The sequence below is a fragment of the Homo sapiens genome, chromosome 20 (genome assembly GCF_000001405.40).
Source record: "Homo sapiens chromosome 20, GRCh38.p14 Primary Assembly".
NCBI lineage: Eukaryota > Metazoa > Chordata > Mammalia > Primates > Hominidae > Homo > Homo sapiens.
In genome coordinates this window covers 62,637,394-62,655,773 of record NC_000020.11, presented here as the reverse complement: position 1 = coordinate 62,655,773, position 18,380 = coordinate 62,637,394, and the positions used below count along the sequence as shown (strand labels likewise).

Below are 18,380 nucleotides of genomic sequence, written 5' to 3'. Positions count from 1 at the left end.
GAGCTGGAAGCAGCCTCCTGGGCCACGTGAGCCCCCAGCACCGGAAACACCCCCGGCCGCCAAGCTCCGGCCGCTGCTGGGTCAGCCTGTGGCTAACAGGAGTTGCAGTCGGCAGCCATGTAGACCAGTTACCAGGAGAACGTGCCCACGTGCCACCTTCCTTCTGAACCCTGCGCTGCCCCTGCCCCACTGCCCTCACCAGCCCTGTTCCCCACCATCCCGAGGCTCCACAGGGCACCGCCTCACTCCCCACACCAATTCCTGGAGCAACAGCTCCCCCCTACTGCCCAAGGCCTTCTGGGGAACCCAGGTGGCTGTAGCCTCTCTGCATCTTAAGGGCTTTCCCCGTCAGAAATAAACCGGCGAATAAACAGGGCTGCTATGATGCGGAACACCTGTGCCGCCCCCGCCCTGGGAGGGTCCTTCCCGGGGCTGCTGTGATACAGAACACCTGTGCCGCCCCCACCCTGGGAGGGTCCTTCCCGGGGCTGCTGTGATACAGAACACCTGTGCCGCCCCCACCCTGGGAGGGTCCTTCCCGGGGCTGCTGTGATACAGAACACCTGTGCCGCCCCCACCCTGGGAGGGTCTTTCTCGCAGACCTCAAGGTGCTTGCCATCTGGGGCACCTCCTGTTATGGCTGAATTGTGACCCCTAAAAGAAGCTGTCTTGGAGCCTTGACCCCAATACCTCCGAATATGACAGTTTTTGAAACTCAGGCCTTTAAAGAGGTGACTAAGGTTAAACAGGGACATTGGGTGGGCCCTGATCCAATCTGACCGGTGTCCATATTATAAAAAGGGAATGTGGATGTGCAGACCATTCCCCTGCCCGGGAGGGAGGCCGGAAGTAGCTCCTTCCCTCACAGCCTCCGAGGGGGGCCGGCCTTGCAGACACCATGATCCCTGATTTCTGGTCCTCAGCAGTAAGAGAGGGCCCGTTTCTGTTGTCTAAGTCCACAGTCTGGGGTCTTTTGTCTTCACTGTGGAGCTAAGGTGGGGTGGGCGGTGGCGTGTCCATATTGGGCCACATTGTATCACATTCAACAGGGACCCCGGCGCTTCTGGAAGCTTATTCAGCCCACGAAACATCACAACCTGGGAGGCTCCAAAACACAAAGCGTGAGAAATGCTGCCCACTGACATCAGGCTGAGGCCGGGGCCACATCAGCCATGCTCAGGGCTCTGCAGAGTCCGAAGCCCTAAGTATCCGGCCTTGGGGTCTCCTTCCAGCCACAGCCGGCGACGCGCAGAGATGCACGGAGATGCAGGGACAGCAGGCAGTCCCGTGGGGACCTGGGCTGGGTGATACCCCAGGATCCTCCTGGCAGCTCCTCACAGAGTCTGCTCACTGGGCCTGCGCTGGGGCTGGGGTGGGCGGACCGGTGCCCCCCGTGTTCCCCGGGCAGTCACGTTCACCTGGGACCTGAGCGCATGACCTTATTTGGAAAAAGCGTCTTTGCAGATGTGACAAGTGATCTGAGAAGAGATCATCCTGGATTAGGGTGGGCCCTAAACCCGGTGACAGGTGCATTTTTAGAGGAGAAGATGACACAGAGAAGGCCACCTGCAGACAGAGACAGAGACGGGCGTGGCGCTCTCAGGACCACCTGGAGCCCCGGGAGCCACTGGGGGCAGGAAGGACCCTCCTCAGAGCCCCAGGGGGAGCACAGCCTGTGTGGACTTTGGGTTCCTGGCCTCCGGAGCTGGTGGGAATAAACTATTTTTTTTTATTATTATACTTTAAGTTCTAGGGTACATGTGCACAACATGCAGGTTTGTTACATATGTATACATGTGCCATGTTGGTGTGCTGCACCCATTAACTCATCATTTACATTAGGTTTATCTCCTAATGCTATCCCTCCCCCCTCCCCCCACCCCATGGCAGGCCCCGGGGTGTGATGTTCCCTGCCCTGTGTCCAAGCGTTCTCATTGTTCAATTTCCACCTATGAGTGAGAACATGCAGTGTTTGGCTGGGAATAAACTATTTTTTAAGCCCTTTGGTGTGTGGTCATTTCTTACAGCAGCCCCCACGGAGGCAAACAGGTGTCACATATGCCCCCGAATTTGGGAGATGACAGAGGCCTGAGGAGGGCCCAGAGAGATGACCTTGGGGTTGAGGCAGAGTTAGAGCTTAACAGACACACTAACTCTAAGGTCAGCGTGGCGGGTGGGAGCGGAGGCGCAGCCGGTGATCCGCCATGGGGCTGCGAGGGGACACAGGGGCCTCAGTGAGAACCAGCCCCGGGACAGGCCTATGCTGACAGACACTACAGCATTTGGGGATGACAAATTGCTGGCTTTTTTTGTTTTGTTTTGTTTTTTAATAAAGGGGCAACTTCATCTGTGAAGGCAGATAAACCGGGCCCAGCATGGTCAGGCCGGGAGCAGGCCATGGGATCTCCCCCAGGTCCAGGCAAGGCTTGTTTTACGTCTGGAGAGATCTGGCGGTACCAGCACCCCTTCCCCAAGGCCACAGGGATCTCAGGATTGAGCCCCCAAAGCTGGGCTCTGGGTCCTCCCGCCACGTCCTCTGCCGAGGCGCGGTCCCCACAGGGCTCCTCTGTGGAATCGGAGGTCTCGCCCTCTCAGCGAATGGATGCCTCAGCCCCAGGCTCCTTGGGACGAAGGCGGGCAGCTGCTGTGAAGAATCCCGCTGGGTGGCAGGGTGCTAACACCCGCTGTGCACACTGAGCACCAGCTGTGTACCAGGCACCGTCCCAGGCCTCACAGTAGGGGAAGAAGGCCCAGGGGGGTCAGTCATTTGCTCGAGGCCACACAGCCCGCCGGTGGCAATGAGGATGCAGCCCCCGCAGTCTGGCCCCAGAGCCAAGCGTCTGCGTCACAGCTGCCTTCTGACACCTACTGAAAGAGCCGTGCACGCTCGTGTGGCACTCACGTGCAGCCGCTGTTGACCTTGGACACTGCCGGGAGGCTGTTTGAGGCCGTATTTGGAGGCCTCGGACAGCAGAGATTCCACAGCATTCATGCCTGGGGCCTGCTCCCTGGGTGCCCGCGGCCACACCCGGGGGTTTATTTACAATGCCAACACCTATCCACGAGCTGGCAGGCCAGGCTGGTTTGGGACCTGCTGCGTCAGAAAGGGAGTGTGCGTGGAAGGAGAGACATTCATATTGTAAGAGCAATGCTCCACGCCTCCCCAAGGGGCAGAGAGCCACCCACGGCCACCCACGAGCCACAGGCTTTCTACTGAAGCGAGCTGTCACAAGGATGACGTCCCAGGAGCATGTGTAACACAAGAACTCGAATGCCAGGAGTCAGCGGAAAAGCCGGAGGAGCAAGAGCCCCGGGGCGGGACTGACGAGGAGGCGCAAGGGCTCCACCGGCCGCCGGCCGCCGAAACAGAAAGCAACCTCAGAGGCCCGGAGGAGGACAGGCCAGGCTCAGAGCCACGCAGACTCCCCAGGCAGCCTGTGGGTGTGTTTCCCTCGCATTGTTTTTCTTAGTGCAGGAACACAGAGCCAAGAACTACCCTGAGGACTGCCTGGAGGTCAAGGTCCACCCACACACACAAACACGTGCACACGCACACACATAAATAGCAGAAACTTGACCTCATTTCCGGGCTGGGCCAGAACATGAAGGGAAGGAGCCTCAACAGGGCCAAGGAACAGCCTGACGCAGGCGGGAGAGTGCTCAGAGGTTCCGCCTAGCTGCACGTGCTGGCACGGGGAGGGGGGCCGAGCGGGGGTGGGGGGTGTGGGGCGGGGCAGGGTGGGGGAGGCGGGGGCAGGGGGAGTGGGTCGGATTCGGCAGCACTTCTGCAAAGGATCTGATGGGGTCCCTGGGATGCTCAATGGTGGGCAAGCCCACGTAAACCATTGCGAACCAAGACGCTGGCTGCCGTGAAACACCCGCTCAACGCCCGGGCACTGGGCTTGCCTCATACAGGCAGTTTGTTCAGCCCTGGCCTCAGGACCAGACGCTGGGGCCAAAGCAGGTAAGGGGGAAGGGGGAGGATCCCGTCTGCATAGCTTTGAGAGGAAGCCAGATTGCTAAGTTTCGTGACCAGCAATGGCCACAGAGAAACAGAAGGACTTCCTTCTTGAAAATGAAAGCCACAACTGAGAAAGAACAGGTAGTTGTAGGTGTCCAAACAGCTCCAAGCTGAAGGCTGTTTTACCTGAATTAAAAGCTCTGACATAAATATGTAAAGCTCAGCCGAAAGTTACCTATTATGCACATTTAAATCAGCAAATTTAAAATCCTCTTTTAAATATCAGCCATGTGGCTTCCGACAGATGCCCATCAGACGGCCGCAGACGATGAGAATTACATGGCACCACTCAGCTCACCAGCTGTGCACCTCCAGGGGCTTCCGTTGGGGCCTCGTTCTGACGTCTTTCTGAGATCCAGCAGCGACCTGGCTTCGGGCCAGCCTCCCTTATCTGAATCTCACGCAAGCAGCATGTGTGTGACAGTACCCATTCCATCTTCATCATGCCCAAGAGTTTCAGCTCCGGGTTCTCTTCTGAAGCTGGAAATCTTCTCTGGGAGGCCGTTTCCCCATTAAAACAGCGGTGTCTAGATTGGAAAGGGGAGGGTGGGCCTTCCATGACTCAGGGCTAAAGGACAACAGGAGCAAACATAAAAGCTGGCTATGATGGGGCGTCTGGCCTGGCTCCTGCCATCCAGGGGACAGATGGGTTGTGGAGTGACGCTGGGCAGGCAACACTCTGGACTCTCAGGGCGATGAGGAGGGTCCCACATTCATGCATTTCCCAAAGGAAGTTTCCAGGATTGTACCAAGACCTCACATGGATACGTCCTAAGCACTGGCATTTACTGAGCGTGCCGTTCTGAGCTGGTGAGCCAGAGGGATGAGAACTCTGCCTGGAGAAGTGGGTGCCCAGCATGTATGTCAAGGCTTGGCCCGGACCTGAGGGAGTCCTTGCTGAACGTGCGGTGCAGGACTTACATTTCAGGGCTAACGTTTGCCACGAAAACCAGCCCAACGTGGGACATGAAAGCATCTTAGCCGCAGCAGCCGAGTCCAGCAATGTGGACAGCCAGACGCATGCTTGGTGGAGGCAGCCAGCGCCCCCATCCTGGTCTCGGTCATCAGTTCCATCAATGACAAATGCTGCTGGGGCCCATGAGGACCACCCGCGCCACTCACATGTTGCTTTCCTTCTGCGATCTGCTAGCTTCCGAGATGGCCAAGGCAGATGCACTCATGGCTCAGTGAGAAGGTGAACGTCACCTCTGCGTTCACTGCTAATGGAGACTGGAGTAATGATGTCTGGTCCGCGTTAAGGCGGGCAGCTCGGCAGCCCACACCTTTGGTTTTCTGGTCTCAGGCCCATTATGGATAAGCTGGTGTGGGGTGGGGCAGGGGAGTTTCAGGGGCTGGAAGGGCCTCATGGCAGCCCCACGTAGAGGCTGCCTAGCCCCTGGACTGGCCCCACCAAGGGGAACAGGACATTGCAGCTGGGCTTGGGGAAGAAGGGAGGCCTGTCCTTTTGATTCTTCTTTCTGGCATCCTGTGTGTGCACGTCTGTGTAGGTGTGTGTACACATGCACACCTGCCTATAGTTTCTTTCCACTTGGAATTGGTTTTGACAAAAAGGTGCGTCAGCTTCCCAAGCTGGTCCCTGTAACAGTGAAGGATGGAGCCTCATCCTCATCCCAGAGCCACACCCTCAGCTTCCCCTGGAAAAGGCAGCGGCTTCTTCCGATCCACACCCTCAGCTTCCCCCGGAAAAGGCAGCAGCTTCTTCTGATGCATGGATACAGCCCCCACTACGGAGCTGGGGAGGGAGCTGCAGGCAGCCTTGACCCCAGACCAAATTCAAAGGACCTGCCTCTTCCAAAGGCCTCCCTCCAAGGGCCACGGGGACCCCATGACCGTCCTCTCATCCCAAGCTGGCTGCATGGGGTGGGCTGGTTTATACGCAGATAAGACTGCACCTGCTGATGAGGCCAGATGCAGGTGAACCCCGGTGCTGCAAATGAGGAGTCTGCAGATGGGGTGAGGCTGAAAGGCAGTTGTGGAAGGCCGGGCAGTGGCAGCCACGTGGCAGAGGAGGGGGTGGGAGACCCGGGGCAGGGATGGGACAGCCATGGGGTGCAGGAGACTGCACCCCCTGTGAAGGACAGGCCAGCGGCCAGCCCCCAGGCCACCCTGGCTCCTGTCAGCATCCCAGGTCGAGTCCACTGTCATCCTCATCTGAACACCCTGACTGCATCTAACACCAGGGCATCTGCTTCCTGGCCTCTGCAGGGCCCACTCTACAGCCTCTGACGCTATGTGCGATGGTCTCAGGGTCAGGGCCAAGAGCACTGTGATAGCGAATTTCATGTGTCAACCTGAGTGGGCCTTGGGTGCCTAGACATTTAGCCAAGCATCGTTCTGGGTGTGCTGTGGGTGTTTCCAGGTGAGATTAGCATGTGAAGGGTGGCCCTCCCCAGGGTGGTGGGCCTCGTCCAATCAGTTGGGGGCCTACATAGATCCAAAGGCTGAGTGAGAGGGCCTCCTCCTGTGACAGCTGCAGCTGGGACCTCGGTCTTTTCCTGCCTTTGGGCTTGGACTGAAATGCCAGCTCTTCTTGGGTCTTCAGCCTTCAGGCTGGAACCTGCAGCAGCATTTCTCTGGTTCTTGGGCCTTCAGACTCAGACTGGACCGAAACCATCAGCTCTCCTGGGCCTCCAGCTTGCCAACGACAGGTCTCGGGACTTGCCCCTTCCATAAGTGCTTGAGCCAGGTCTTCAGGATAAATCTCTTTCCACCTATCCTGTTGGTTGTGTTTCTCTGGATAACTCAGACTAATACAAGCCAGTCCTTCCATACTTTGGTACCGACTTCCTAACGCCTGCTATGTGGGAAACCTGGGCTTCAGGGACTCCCAGGACACTGTCGCACCCACGAGGAGCCCAGGGGCGGTCACTCGAGAGCTGGGTGCAAAAGCTGCCCATGGCTGCGAATCAGAACCGCCTGGCCGGTGGGGACAAGAGGCCCGGAGCCTGGAGTGAATTCCAGTCATCAGCCAAGGCCCTGGGAGCCAGGCTTAGGGAGGAGGCTCTGACAGCACACCACCACCATCGCTGCCCAGGAACCTTCTGGAGGCCTGAACCAGCTGAGCTCTCCTGTGCACACACAGTTACTGAAATCTGCCCCATCACGGGAGGAGGGTCCATCACCTCCATGGAGTAGGGTCCTCTCCCATGGCCTTGTACTCCTGACGGCTGCTCCAGAATGAGGGACAAGGTCTCCCCTGGGGCTCCGGCCACACGGCTCCCATGCAGCCGGCAGGTGGGAAGGAGCCCCTGGAAGCAGAGCCTGCCCATGTGCCCAGGCCCGGAGCCCTGACTGGTGGCCCCGCCCGTGAGCCACTTCAGGCCCCCTGTGGCTGCCCCGCCCCAGGGCACCCACTCACCTCTCGGCCCATCCTTTCCCCACTGCCCTGATGCCTCTGTCCATGGGAGAACATCTGAGGCGGAGCCTTAGGTGGCTCTCAGCCCGAGAGAAACGCAAACCACCCCGCCCCTCCGGTGCATCTAGAGAGCCAGCTGCCCTTTCCCTGGGAGCTTAGCCCCCTCAGGCCCTGTCCCTGCTCTAACCCACAACAACCCCGCAGGGGAGGAAGGGGGGATGTTGCTGCCAGAGGCCTTGGCAGCCAGGGTGTGAATTAGGCCAAGGCGATCAGCCGGGGGATAATGTGTCCCTGGAGCCTCCGGCTGGGGGCAGGCCTGGGGAGGGTGTATGCGTGCGTGTGCGCCTGTGTATGGGTCAGTGCCCGCTATTTTAGGAGGAGGCCATGGGGGCCAGAGTTCTCTTCCGATTTCCTCATGCTGGCCTGGTCAGTCAGCTGCATCTCCGGGATAGGAGGCCCTGACTCCTCTGCTAGGGTCTTTTAGAGGCGAATCCGGCTGACCTCTTCCTCCCCCTCCTCTCAAGCCAGGACAGTGACCTGGGAGGAGCTAGTGGCCACGTGCGGGTGGCTGGCACAGCCCAGACTGTGGGAACTGGGGTGCCAGCCTGTATCCCCGTGTGTGGGCAGCTGACACAGCCCGGCCTGTGCCACTTCTAGAAGCCCACCTACTTCCCTAGGCCCCATGCACTTACTTCCCAGCCTGGCTCCCTGCAAAGCGCTCTCAGCGCAGTGCGTGGAAAGGACGCAGGATCTCTGAGAAAACTATTTTAAGCTTGCCAGCCCCTGGGCCTGGCCTGGCTGACCTACTGTGGCCCAGCAAATGTCCCCAGGGAGGCCTGGAGCTGGGCTGGGTGGGTAGCACCCCTCCACATTAGGGGATGTCCCAGTCCCGGCTTCCAGGCCCCACTCAGAATTTGGAGGCCAGGCAGGACCATAGGGTCTCAGTTCTCCTTTCTCTTCAGATTCCAGCCCAGGCACTGCCTGGCAAAGCCGAGTCCCTCCTCCTGGCACCTGACGGCTCTGAGGCTGCCAGCCACAGCCACATGCCTGCCCTGCACCCAGCCCCGCCCTGAGCACCTGCCTGCTCCCCACACCATCTTCAGCTGCCTCCCCTGCCACACCAGCCCCCCAAGACACCTGGGACTCTCTCCTCTATCTCCAAATTCACTCCAGGGTCTCTTCCTCAAGCTGGATGAATGAATGAAAGGAGCTTTCACTTCTTTAGCTTGAGGCACAGACTCTGGGATCAGCATATGGGGGCCTCAGCTGTGCCTGGTACACCCCAATTTGCATACCTGGTGACCTCGCACAGGCGAGCAGGCAGGAAGCCATTGCTTTGTATGGGGCCGACAATGAAGGATTGTCTGAGCAAGAGGGAGCCAGGGTGCGGCAGCAGGGCCAGCCCAGAAGGACCTGTCCCTCAACCTGCTTGCACCCAGTCTCCACCCACTGAACCTGGGAGCGTGGGGAGGACGGGTGAAGCCACGGGTGTGTGCAGGTTTACTCTTCCTTCCGACTCATCATCCCATCCATGGAACTGAAAACTCTCCTGCCATTCAAGGGCATGTTTGAGAAGAAGACGGAGGCTGGCTCCAAGCCACGCAGGTCACGGGCCTCTCTCTGCCTCAGTTTCCACCCATAACAGAGACATCATGAGAATGAGAATGAGCCACTGAGCGTCCTACTCAAAGTGGGCCCAGTCAGCACTGGAGTTCATGGGAAACAGACTCAGAATGGAAATCCACCCTGTCCGGCCCCGGAGCCCTGCAGGCCCTGCCTGCCGCAGGTCCCCACTGCTGCCCTGGCCTCCTCAGCCTCCTTCCATGGCTGGGGTGGAAGTGGCTTGCCCTGCCCATGCTCAGGACCCCCGCTGTGCCTCGGCTACTGGTGAGTGAAGGCGTAAGTGATGCCACAACTCATGTTTTCCTGCATGTGGGGGGACCCCTTTACAGACCCGTGGTGTTCACAGCTCTCTTTGTCCTCTGGGGAAGAGGAAAGGACCTCCCCAGTTCTCAGGCTAGTCCTTGGGCACAGGGCCTGCTTCCCAGCCTGCTGTGCAGAGCAGCCAGGGCTCTGGGACTCCTGAGGGTGAAGGTGAGGAGGCAGGGGATGCCCAGGACCTCCCTCCTCCAGGAGAGCCCTGTGCACCACAGGAGGCAGGGCGGGTGGTGGGAGGGAAGGGCGGGCAGCTCAGAGGTCCGCCAGCAAAGGGGCTCAAACCTGACCCCCAATGTGTGGGAGAGACAAGACCCAGAAGGGCCCTCGGGGAGCTTGAGAGGCTGCAGGGAGCAGGTTCTGTCCAGATGAGGAACCTGCCTGGCACAGCTGGGCCACTCTCCTCCCAGGTGGCCTCCTAGGCCCATGGGTCCAAATCTCAGGTCCACAGCGCCTCCCGAAAGGCAGAGTCCAGTGGCAAATGCAAGGGCCCCAAGTGAGCCTGGGGCAGACTGGACGACACACGCCACCCAAAGCATCGCAAGCTCTCCCTGCGGCTTGGGCCAGAGGGGCAATGCCTCAGGTGCCCCCCAAGGCTTGCCAGATTAGAAAAACCACCAAGAAAAGGCAAGGTCCGTGGGCAGGAAGGGCCTGGCTGCGCGTGGGAGGGAGAGGAATCTGGGCTCTCTGGCACCCAAAAGCGACCCCAGCCACTGGTGCCAAGTCTCACCCTACGCTTGGGCTACGTGGGGAGCGGCTTCTGCAGAAGGCACGTGGTTTGAAAAAGCAGTCACCTTCCGCCAGAAATGTAGTCCCAGGGTCTAATTCTGTGTGATGCTGGTGGGAAGGAGGCTACTGAAAAGAACTGAAGGGTTGGAGACAGCCGGAGACCCCAGTGTCTGAGGACTGAGGGTGAGGCTGCGGGTGAGGATGAGGGTGAGGGTGCGGGTGTGGGTGGGTCCTCACCCGCACCCTCATCCTCACCCGCACCCTCACCCTCACCGTAGCCTGAAGGGCCAGCAGGGGCCAGAGAAGGCAGCAGGGTCCCCAGGACCAGGTTGTTCTTTGTAGTCCCAGTCTGCTTCCTCTGCAGAGGCCCACAGGAGGACACGCCCAGAGTCTGTTGTCCCAGCAGCAGGGCCAGTTTCCTCCTCACACCCCTGGCAGGGCCAAGGCTCAGAGTCACCCAGAACCTGTTAACCTAGCATGTGAGTTACTGGCACCTCCCTCCCTGTTCAAGGGGTGCAATCCCCACGTGCCCATTCCAACAAGTGGGCAAGACCCAGATCCTGCCTGAAGTCAGCTGACACTCAGCAAGCTCACTGGGGGGCCAGACAGTGGTCCATGTCCCAGAACGAAGGCAACAGCAAGGTCTGAGGACTGTCCCATGTCCTTGTCCAAAAGCCAACAGTGTGCACCTTGCCACTTGCAAATGAGGCAGTCATGTGGCTCGTGAGGGAACGTTTTGTGGCCTCTGTCCACAGCCCGCTTGAGGAAGCAGGAGGGCTGGCCTGGCGTGGCTCTCTCCCAGAGCTCCAAGGGCCCTGCTCCCTCCTGCCCCCAGCACCAGGCTGCACGTTGGCTTTTCTGTGGCTCATCTCTGACCACCTACAACCATCTGCTGGGGAGAGCACCAGGACCCAACACGTTCCAGTGGACGAGTCCAGGAAGCCAGGAATGTATATTGGCTCAGCAGTACCCACCCCAGAAATGGATTAACACTCATGGAGACATCCGGATCGAAGACCTTGTAGGCACAATACTAAGCTCGATGAGTTAACTTTTCATTCTACAATGGGCTGAGAAAAATTTTGCCATTTGGAAGTCAGACCGACCTGGAGCCAAAACTGCAATGGGGCTTGGTCAAGCCAAGGGGCCCATCAGAGCCCCGAGGAGAGCCGGCCTCTCTGGGCTTAGTCTAGCAAGGAGAGCATGTCCATCCACCTGGCCACCCTTCACCTGGCCCAGCCTGCCCTGCCTGCCACGTGCCCAGCCAGCTCTCCACCATGGGAGGGACTTGCCCAGCACCTGCTTTAGGGGCCACACCCAGTGAGCTACAGATTAGGTCACGGCCACTCGGGAGGGAAGCTCCCTCATGAAGAATTTTCCAGGCACCACCTGCTGACCTTGCCCAGCAGGAAGGCAGGACACAGCCTGCTGAGGGCGGTCAGGGCAGCCTGGCTGTGGTCAGCGTCCAGGTCTCACCGAGTGGCCGGCCTCTGCCCTGGCTCCCTCCAGCAGCACAGAGGGAAGTCGGGCTGTGTGGTCTCGGCCCGAGCAACATCCTACTGGTGTCCTGCGATCACTGACAACCCAGAACAGACACTCTGGCCCAGTAACCGCAGGCCCAGCTCTTGGGACGCTGTTCTGGGTCTCCGGCCTGACCCTGCAGTCGCCTTTTGCCTCTTTAAGAACAGAGTCGTAAAACAGGAGCCCAAGCCTGGATCAGACAAACCTGGAGTCAGACCTCTTCAGCACTTACAAGCTGTGTGGCCTAGAGTCAATCACTTAACCTCTTGGTGCCTCAGTTTACTCATCTATAAAGTGGGAGTGATAATGGCCACCTCGTGGGGTTGCTAGGGACTGAATGAGACGATGCTCAAAGCAGGGGTACCATGCCCGGCACATTCCAGCACTCAACACCTAACCCCTGCTGTCACTGTCCTTGTCATTATTACCAGATTCACAAGCGGAGCCGGCTAAGGCCAAGGAGCTGTCCTCTGAGATCCATTTGCTCCCGCTGCTGGGAATGAAAACGTCGCTGACACCGGGCTCTGCAGAGCCAGTTTCTGATTAGATGGAGGTAACCCAAGTTCCAAAAACCACAGCTGAGGAGCAGCAGCTGACAAGCTGGTTGCATGGATGTGGAAAACTACCGCGTTCCAGCCGCCTCCAGACAGAAACAGGACGCATAGCCAGGTCCCACGGCAGCTCCAAAGAGGGCCTTGCACGCCAAGCGGGGCACCCCCCAGCCTGAGGGTTCACCAACCACGCGGACCACGCGGAAACCTAGCTGGGCTTCTCTCTCCCCTCGGGGCGCCAGTGCGGGAGGCGGTTTCTCCCTTGGAAGTGGAAGTCAGATCTGCTTCCAGGTTCCCGGTCTAGGGCCGGTCTAGGGCAGCTAAGCCTGCCTGCTCCTTCCTTTCCATCCTCCCTGGTCAGGGGAGCCCAACAGCAACGCGAGGGCACCCGACCCTCTGCCTGCACCTGGAGGGCGCCCGGGTCCCCCCAAGCCACGGCCAGGACGTCGCGTGGTGGGGCAGGGAAAGGGGCGCCGCCGCTGCTGGAAACTAGCCCTGTGCGCTCCGCCCGCGCTCCCCTCCCGGAGATGTCTCGAGCGCCTCTGGCGCGAACAAAGCCCGGCCGCCCCCGAGAAACTTCCGTGCATGAAGGTTTCCTCCTTGACTCGGCAGCAGCGGCCGCCGCAGGTGGGTGACTCCGCAACTCTGGAGCTCCGCGGAGGCGCGTTCGTCCCCAGCTGGATCTGTGGGGCCTGCGCCTGCGCGCGCTCCGGGCCACCTGCCCAGGTCACCTGCCCCGGCCACTCCGACAGTCCCTGCCAGGGCCGCAGCCCCTGCTCACCCGCTTCCCCCCGGCACCCGCTGCAGCGTGGGGCCCCTTCGCCTCGGTCCTCCTGCGGGCGACTCGGGAGCTCCTACCTGCGCAGCCGGCGGCGGGAAGCGGCGAATTTGGCCTCCGATTCCGCTCGGTCCTGCCCTCCCCCGCGGAGAGGCTCGGGGCGCTCGGCCGGTGCCCAGGCCTCCCGCCCCCGCGCGCATCCCCCCGGCGCTCCAGCCCCTGCCCACGATGGCGGCACCTGCCGCGCTCCTACGCCAGCAGGTCGGGCCCTGTGCACCCGCGCCAGCTCCCCGCTCCCCGCGCACTCACCGTCCCCGTCTCGAGGGCCCGGCCGCCGCGCCGCGCAGCGCTCCACGCTCTGGCCTCCCCGGCAGCCACGCGCCGCTTCATTCATCCGCTGGGGCCGCCCCCGCCGCAGAGGGAGGGGCGGGGTTTCCTGCGCGGGGCCCGCCTCACCCCCCACGGCCAATGGCAGCGGCGACCGCCCCCTCCTCCCCCCCAGGGCACAGAGGCGGGAACGCGCGGCGGGGGACCAGGGCGTCTCTCTCCGGAGCGCTGCCGCCTCCTGGACTCCCCGCTCCAGCTCCAAGGACCGGCATCGCTGCCGCAGCCGGGAGGCCGAGAACGCGCGGTGGCGACGCCGCCCCAGGCCACGCGGCGAGGCGGTTCCGAACGGACTCGGGATTCGCTCCTGGGCGCTGTGGGGCCGAGTGGAGCCAAGCGGCCGTTTTTCAGCTCCGCCCTTCCGAAAGGCTGCCGCAGGGTCGGGGCCACGTGGGGCCCGCGGCAGAGGGGCTGGGGGAACGCCACGGGCGGCCCTGGTGAAGGTGCCCGCCGGTCTCGGCCTGACCCCCAGGCCCTGTTCTGGCACGCGCCCCACCTGCGCGCACAGTGAGACCGGCGCCCTAGCCTGGGAATCCGGGGAATCTCCAGCCCGTTGCCTTTTCCATAACCCCGTCTTCTTTTTCACACTAGCTCTGAGGGTGGAAGGCAGGGAGGTGCCAGCCACGTTCCCTTCCACAGAGGGAACTCCCTGTTGGAATTCCTACCCCGGCTTCCTGCCGTCTGTCCTGGAACACATTGCTCCAGGCCTCCGAGCCTCAGTTTCCTCGTTTGCAAAATGGGGGCGATAACAGAGCGTCCTCAAAGGGGATAAGACGGAAGAAGTTGGCTCATATCAGGGCTCATAATTGTTGCCAAGTATTAACAGGTAACCACAATCACACTCCACAAAGCTTCCCTTTTAGTGTCAGTGAAATTAATTTAAAAGAAGTTTCCGAAAGTCAAGTGTGTGTGTGTGAATCCTGAGATAAGTCAGGTAAGGGGGGAAATGACCACCTCACGGCCCCAGGCTGGTGAGGAAGTCCTAGCCACGGAGGCGGTGCTGCAGGACCTGGCCTGGTGGCATAGCGTGGCGGGCGGGTTCACCGTGGAGAGACGAAGGAGGTGCTGCGGCTTGTGAGAAAAGGCCCACAACCCCATGCAGTTATTTATGAAATGGTTTTCCTTCCTCCAGGGCTTGGGGCTCCTGCCCACTCGTATCAGGTCCCGGGACCCCCCCGGTGGTGTCCTCAGGGCTCCCGCCGTCCCAGGCCGCCCTCCACTTCTGGAAGCAGACACGAGGCCACGAGACCCACTGCTTTTGGGTATCTGCTTTCATTCCTGACACTGCCCTTTAAGAGAAAAAAGTACCCACATTGTTCCCAGATGGAGAGGGTCCCTCCCAGAGGGTGAGGCACTGCCACAGGGGCTCACGGCCCTGCCAGGAGTGGAAGGTGCACACCCAGAAGTATTTCTCCTGTGAAGGAAGGGGGCTGAGCTTCGCTGCAGACCTGGCCTCAGGTGTGGATGAGCTTCGCTGCAGACCTGGCCTCAGGTGCGGAGTCTGCGGGAGCAGCATTTCCAGGCAGACCTGACAGAAGGTGCCTTTGAGAGGTGGTGAGCTCCGTGTTACAGGAGGCTTGTGAGCACAGGTAGCCCATCTTCTGGTGATGATGCTGGAGAAGCAATTCAAATGTCAGAAGCAGGACTGGACTCTGTTTCCAAAACTCACGTCTGGATTCTACCCCCTGAAAACATTATTTACACAATGTTTTTCCTTTAAACAATTCACACATTTGATTAAAAGGGTAAGTTTATTTTTTAAAAAGTCAGTGTCAATTACCACAAAGAGGTCACCATAAAAATAGATAAAAAGAAACAAAATGGCATTAAATTCTAGCCAAATATTGCTGCCTGTGGAGGGCTCCCGGCCTGAGACCCGCCTCAGACCCCACCAGGCATTCTTTGGGATTCCTGCATAGGCACCATTGGAAAGGTAAATCCAGAGCAAACATTTCAGGTACATTCGTGCAAAATGCAGGCCCTCAGTCCTGTCCTCAAAGGCAAATGCTGGTGCCCAGGCTCCTCAAGAGGCCCCTAGGAGCACCAGGAGGCCTTGACCCAGGTGAAGGGTCCTGCCGCAGGCCATCAAGGGGGTCTGCAGGTCTGGCCCAACTCCAGGCCCTGCGTGGTGGGGTCCATCTGCACCAGCTTTCGGGAGCCGACTGTGTCCTTACTCTTGCCCTAGAGGACTCGGGGGTCAGCTACAGAGCACAGCAGTGTCTTGGAACAAGGGCAGCCTGATTATGTGCCCTGGAACATTCTGAACTCAATAAGTTCTATCCCAGCAGGGCTTTTTTTCTTTCTTTTCTTTTTTTTTTTTCTTTTTTGAGAGGAAATAATTAAAAGAAAAAGAAAGCGAGAACCCCCTGGCTCCCCTGTGGCCTTGCAGGGTCGTACTGCTGCCTGTCCGGGCGGCTTCAGGAGGCTCGGAACAGATGCTGCACATTTGTGGGCCACTTACTGTTCTCTGACATCATCTTTAGAGGCACCTCAAAGAGCTGAAATGTGACAGCCTGTATTTCCACCTCCCTCTCTCTTTATGGACATTGTCACTTGGAGGAAAATCGATCTAAAGATCAGAAGAGAAGTGTAGAGAGAGAAGAGAGAGAAACGCTGTCAGGTCAAGGGGCAGGTTAATGGCCAACCCAGAAACAGCGTGGGATCCCGGTGCCTCTGCCTGGAGGGTCCAGCCTGGAACACACATCATTCCTAGCTTTGACCAGGAATGGTATCCAAAAAATGACCTCACTTAGCTATTAGTACTTGATTGGGATAATACTTAAAATCCTGCTAATATTTCTGTGGTTGCTTCCATTCTGTAGTCATAGTTCATTTCTATTTTCTATGAATTTGGCGTATGTCTTAGCCAACTCATTTGAAACTGCCTGTCCTTCCTTGACTTATAAAAAAATGGCCATTTCAGCTTCGTGATAATGGGCAAGTCTCAGAAATGATGAAAACATCATTTAATTGTTTCATTATTTCAAAGTCTCAGGCTGTGGCCATGTGGTGGAGGCTCTAGAGAAAGTTTCTAAAAAATATTTTAAAAGTTACGACTGCACTGTTTTGCATGAGAAAGAGGATTTTGCTAAAGATTGAAGGCGATCGGGCTGCAGGCGAAATGTGGCTTGAAGTCCCCAGCTCCAGAGTGGCACGTTTCAGTCTGTTAAATGCTGTGTTCAGGTGAGGAGTTAGGATCATGGTACAACCCAGATGTGGGCTGGCGGCTGGCACACAGCTTAGCAAAGAAGAGACGCACAAGGCCAGAGTGGCCTTAGGAAAAACTCAGCCTGGAGTTGTCCAAATGTCCGCGATGGAGGAGTTTCATGGGGGAATTAAGATTGTCAGGTTAGGGAAGGGCACAGGTAGCTGGGAGGCTCTTTGGTAGCAAAATTCCATAGAAGATAAAAAGCATGTTCTCTCTTGGAAATCATCAGTCCATCCTGTCGGAGCCCCTTTGGAGCAGGGTGTGGCTGGAGGGCCTGGCTTGCTGGCCACGCCTCAGTCACAGCATTGGCTTTCCTGCGCTTCTGCTTCCTGCTCTTCCCGGTGATCTGCGTCCTGCGGGGCGCACAGCAAGCCCTCCGTGGGACGAAGATCTTCGTCTTCCATCCACGCTGCTTTGCTCACCTGCGACATGACCTGAGGCTCTGGCCCTGCTGAGCTGGGCCCTTGGCCAGTGCTGTACAAACGCCATCCACCATCTGGTGACAGCAGCCTAGCAATTGACCAACAGAGGCCTCCCACTGTCCTCCCTCCTGCCGCCCTCCCTCTGCATCTCCCAGAGCAGGACGACTCCAGGGAGACAGACTCAATTCAATCTTTTTCTGTTTCAGAGAATCTGTCACCATTAAAAGCAGCTACCAGGGAATCTGATTCCATTGCACCAGGTCTCAGGTCTCAGGTCTCAGGCGTTCTTCCAAAATGCTGGTGGATGGTGGGCTCTCGCCCTGGGATTATAGATGCCCAGATAAACCATATGTAAATAACACTGCATTTAACCCGCCGACAAAGGGTGGCCTTCTTGACGGTGGTGAAGGAAGTTTTGACCCAGGAGAACAGAGGTCGTCATTCACAAGCACTAGGGTCCGGTGAAAGCACAGGCTTCAGCGTCTGGACAGGCAGCTACATGACGGTATCATGTTCTCTTTAGAAGCCACCAACTGATTCCTGTGTGTTCAGAGCCTGCTGTTAGAGATTAGGTGTGGGGTAGAAAAAATTGGAATCTGGACTTCCCTGCCTGGCGAGATGGCCCTGAGCTCTGAGACATGACCTGAGGACACCTGGAGTGCCCTGAGTTCCAGGGGACACATAGCAGCCAAGTGGGGAAGAGGCCACTGAATGCCGGTGGCTCCGTGGCAAAGGCACATGGAGCTGTAGGAAGAGACATGCTGGGGCCCCCAGCACCTGGAGAGCAGCAGCCCTGTCCACACCTGGGGCCTTGGCTGCCCACAGCCTCTCTAGAAGGGTCATCTGAATTTCACTGGTGATCTGCTTGTGAGGTCTTCTGCATACACTCTTACTTACAAAGAGGCAAACGTCTGCCAGCCCAAGGGCTTCTGGAACTGCCTCGGTCTGCCTGGCTCCTGAGCCTCCCCGCGGGTCTGGGGGTGGAGGTGTTCACAGGGTTCACTTGGCTGAGACCTCACATTCTGGAAGGGCCTCGTGTTAGGTGAGTGATTATCTTAGCTTCCAATACAACTGTGCATGCAGTCCGGACCCGCCGAGGCACAGACCCATCAGGTCTTCTGCTAACTCTCATCCCGGCCCACCCAGCATGACTAGCAAGATTATATTGCATTGAGAGTGTTTACAGTAAAAGCGTTAAATGTAATCATTTACCTTGTTGGCGATTGTTTGCAGCCCTCTTTGAGCATTCATTCCCTCATGTTTCATTTGCTGAGACTTTGGCAAATGGAAGTGGGCAGTCCCTGTCCCCATCTCCAGGGCCCTGCCTTGGCACCTTCCCCACCAAGCTGACACCTCTGTGAGCTTCAGAGAAGCTAGAAGCTTTGGAGCTTTGTCCAAGGACATGGACACCCCATTGCAGCCTCACTCACTTGGGGGTGAAAGGAAGGTGACCTG

At 58.5% G+C, this 18,380-nt stretch overlaps 1 protein-coding gene and 2 long non-coding RNA genes across 10 annotated transcripts in view, besides 8 other annotated features; 2 read left to right on the top strand and 1 right to left on the bottom strand.

The window, feature by feature from the left end:
- Positions 1-13,271, bottom strand: part of SLCO4A1 (solute carrier organic anion transporter family member 4A1) — a 48,238-nt gene extending 34,967 nt beyond the window's left edge. For all 7 annotated transcript variants that reach the window (XR_001754251.3, XR_007067450.1, XM_005260203.4 and 4 more), the window contains exon 1: positions 13,221-13,271. The gene's annotated coding sequence lies outside the window, so the exon portion shown is untranslated. The remainder of the gene's footprint in view (positions 1-13,220) is intronic.
- Positions 405-454: an enhancer, noted in NCBI's record as "active region_18213". NCBI's record gives its function as "activates an Ori minimal core promoter by ATAC-STARR-seq in GM12878 lymphoblastoid cells {active_cell/tissue: GM12878}" and the evidence as "EXISTENCE:reporter gene assay evidence [ECO:0000049][PMID:35858748]".
- Positions 3,107-3,296: an enhancer, noted in NCBI's record as "active region_18212". NCBI's record gives its function as "activates an Ori minimal core promoter by ATAC-STARR-seq in GM12878 lymphoblastoid cells {active_cell/tissue: GM12878}" and the evidence as "EXISTENCE:reporter gene assay evidence [ECO:0000049][PMID:35858748]".
- Positions 3,477-3,606: a silencer, noted in NCBI's record as "silent region_13118". NCBI's record gives its function as "represses an Ori minimal core promoter by ATAC-STARR-seq in GM12878 lymphoblastoid cells {active_cell/tissue: GM12878}" and the evidence as "EXISTENCE:reporter gene assay evidence [ECO:0000049][PMID:35858748]".
- Positions 3,588-6,813, top strand: SLCO4A1-AS2 (SLCO4A1 antisense RNA 2). 2 transcript variants are annotated; one of them, NR_183965.1, is made up of 2 exons: positions 3,588-3,964; positions 4,266-6,813. It is a non-coding gene; the product is annotated as an SLCO4A1 antisense RNA 2 (long non-coding RNA). The 2 variants fall into 2 exon arrangements; NR_183964.1 differs by having other exon boundaries at positions 4,248-6,813.
- Positions 3,717-3,896: a silencer, noted in NCBI's record as "silent region_13117". NCBI's record gives its function as "represses an Ori minimal core promoter by ATAC-STARR-seq in GM12878 lymphoblastoid cells {active_cell/tissue: GM12878}" and the evidence as "EXISTENCE:reporter gene assay evidence [ECO:0000049][PMID:35858748]".
- Positions 4,077-4,166: an enhancer, noted in NCBI's record as "active region_18211". NCBI's record gives its function as "activates an Ori minimal core promoter by ATAC-STARR-seq in GM12878 lymphoblastoid cells {active_cell/tissue: GM12878}" and the evidence as "EXISTENCE:reporter gene assay evidence [ECO:0000049][PMID:35858748]".
- Positions 4,177-4,476: an enhancer, noted in NCBI's record as "active region_18210". NCBI's record gives its function as "activates an Ori minimal core promoter by ATAC-STARR-seq in GM12878 lymphoblastoid cells {active_cell/tissue: GM12878}" and the evidence as "EXISTENCE:reporter gene assay evidence [ECO:0000049][PMID:35858748]".
- Positions 7,060-7,633: an enhancer, noted in NCBI's record as "H3K4me1 hESC enhancer chr20:61279493-61280066 (GRCh37/hg19 assembly coordinates)". NCBI's record gives its function as "activates a minimal SCP1, AML or CMV promoter by ChIP-STARR-seq in primed H9 embryonic stem cells {active_cell/tissue: H9 hESC(primed)}" and the evidence as "EXISTENCE:reporter gene assay evidence [ECO:0000049][PMID:30033119]".
- Positions 12,834-13,783: a silencer, noted in NCBI's record as "silent region_13116". NCBI's record gives its function as "represses an Ori minimal core promoter by ATAC-STARR-seq in GM12878 lymphoblastoid cells {active_cell/tissue: GM12878}" and the evidence as "EXISTENCE:reporter gene assay evidence [ECO:0000049][PMID:35858748]".
- LOC124904949 (uncharacterized) lies at positions 13,437-18,129 on the top strand. The gene is made up of 2 exons (XR_007067711.1): positions 13,437-14,121; positions 14,428-18,129. It is a non-coding gene; the product is annotated as an uncharacterized LOC124904949 (long non-coding RNA).
- The last annotated feature ends 251 nt before the right edge of the window (positions 18,130-18,380 follow it).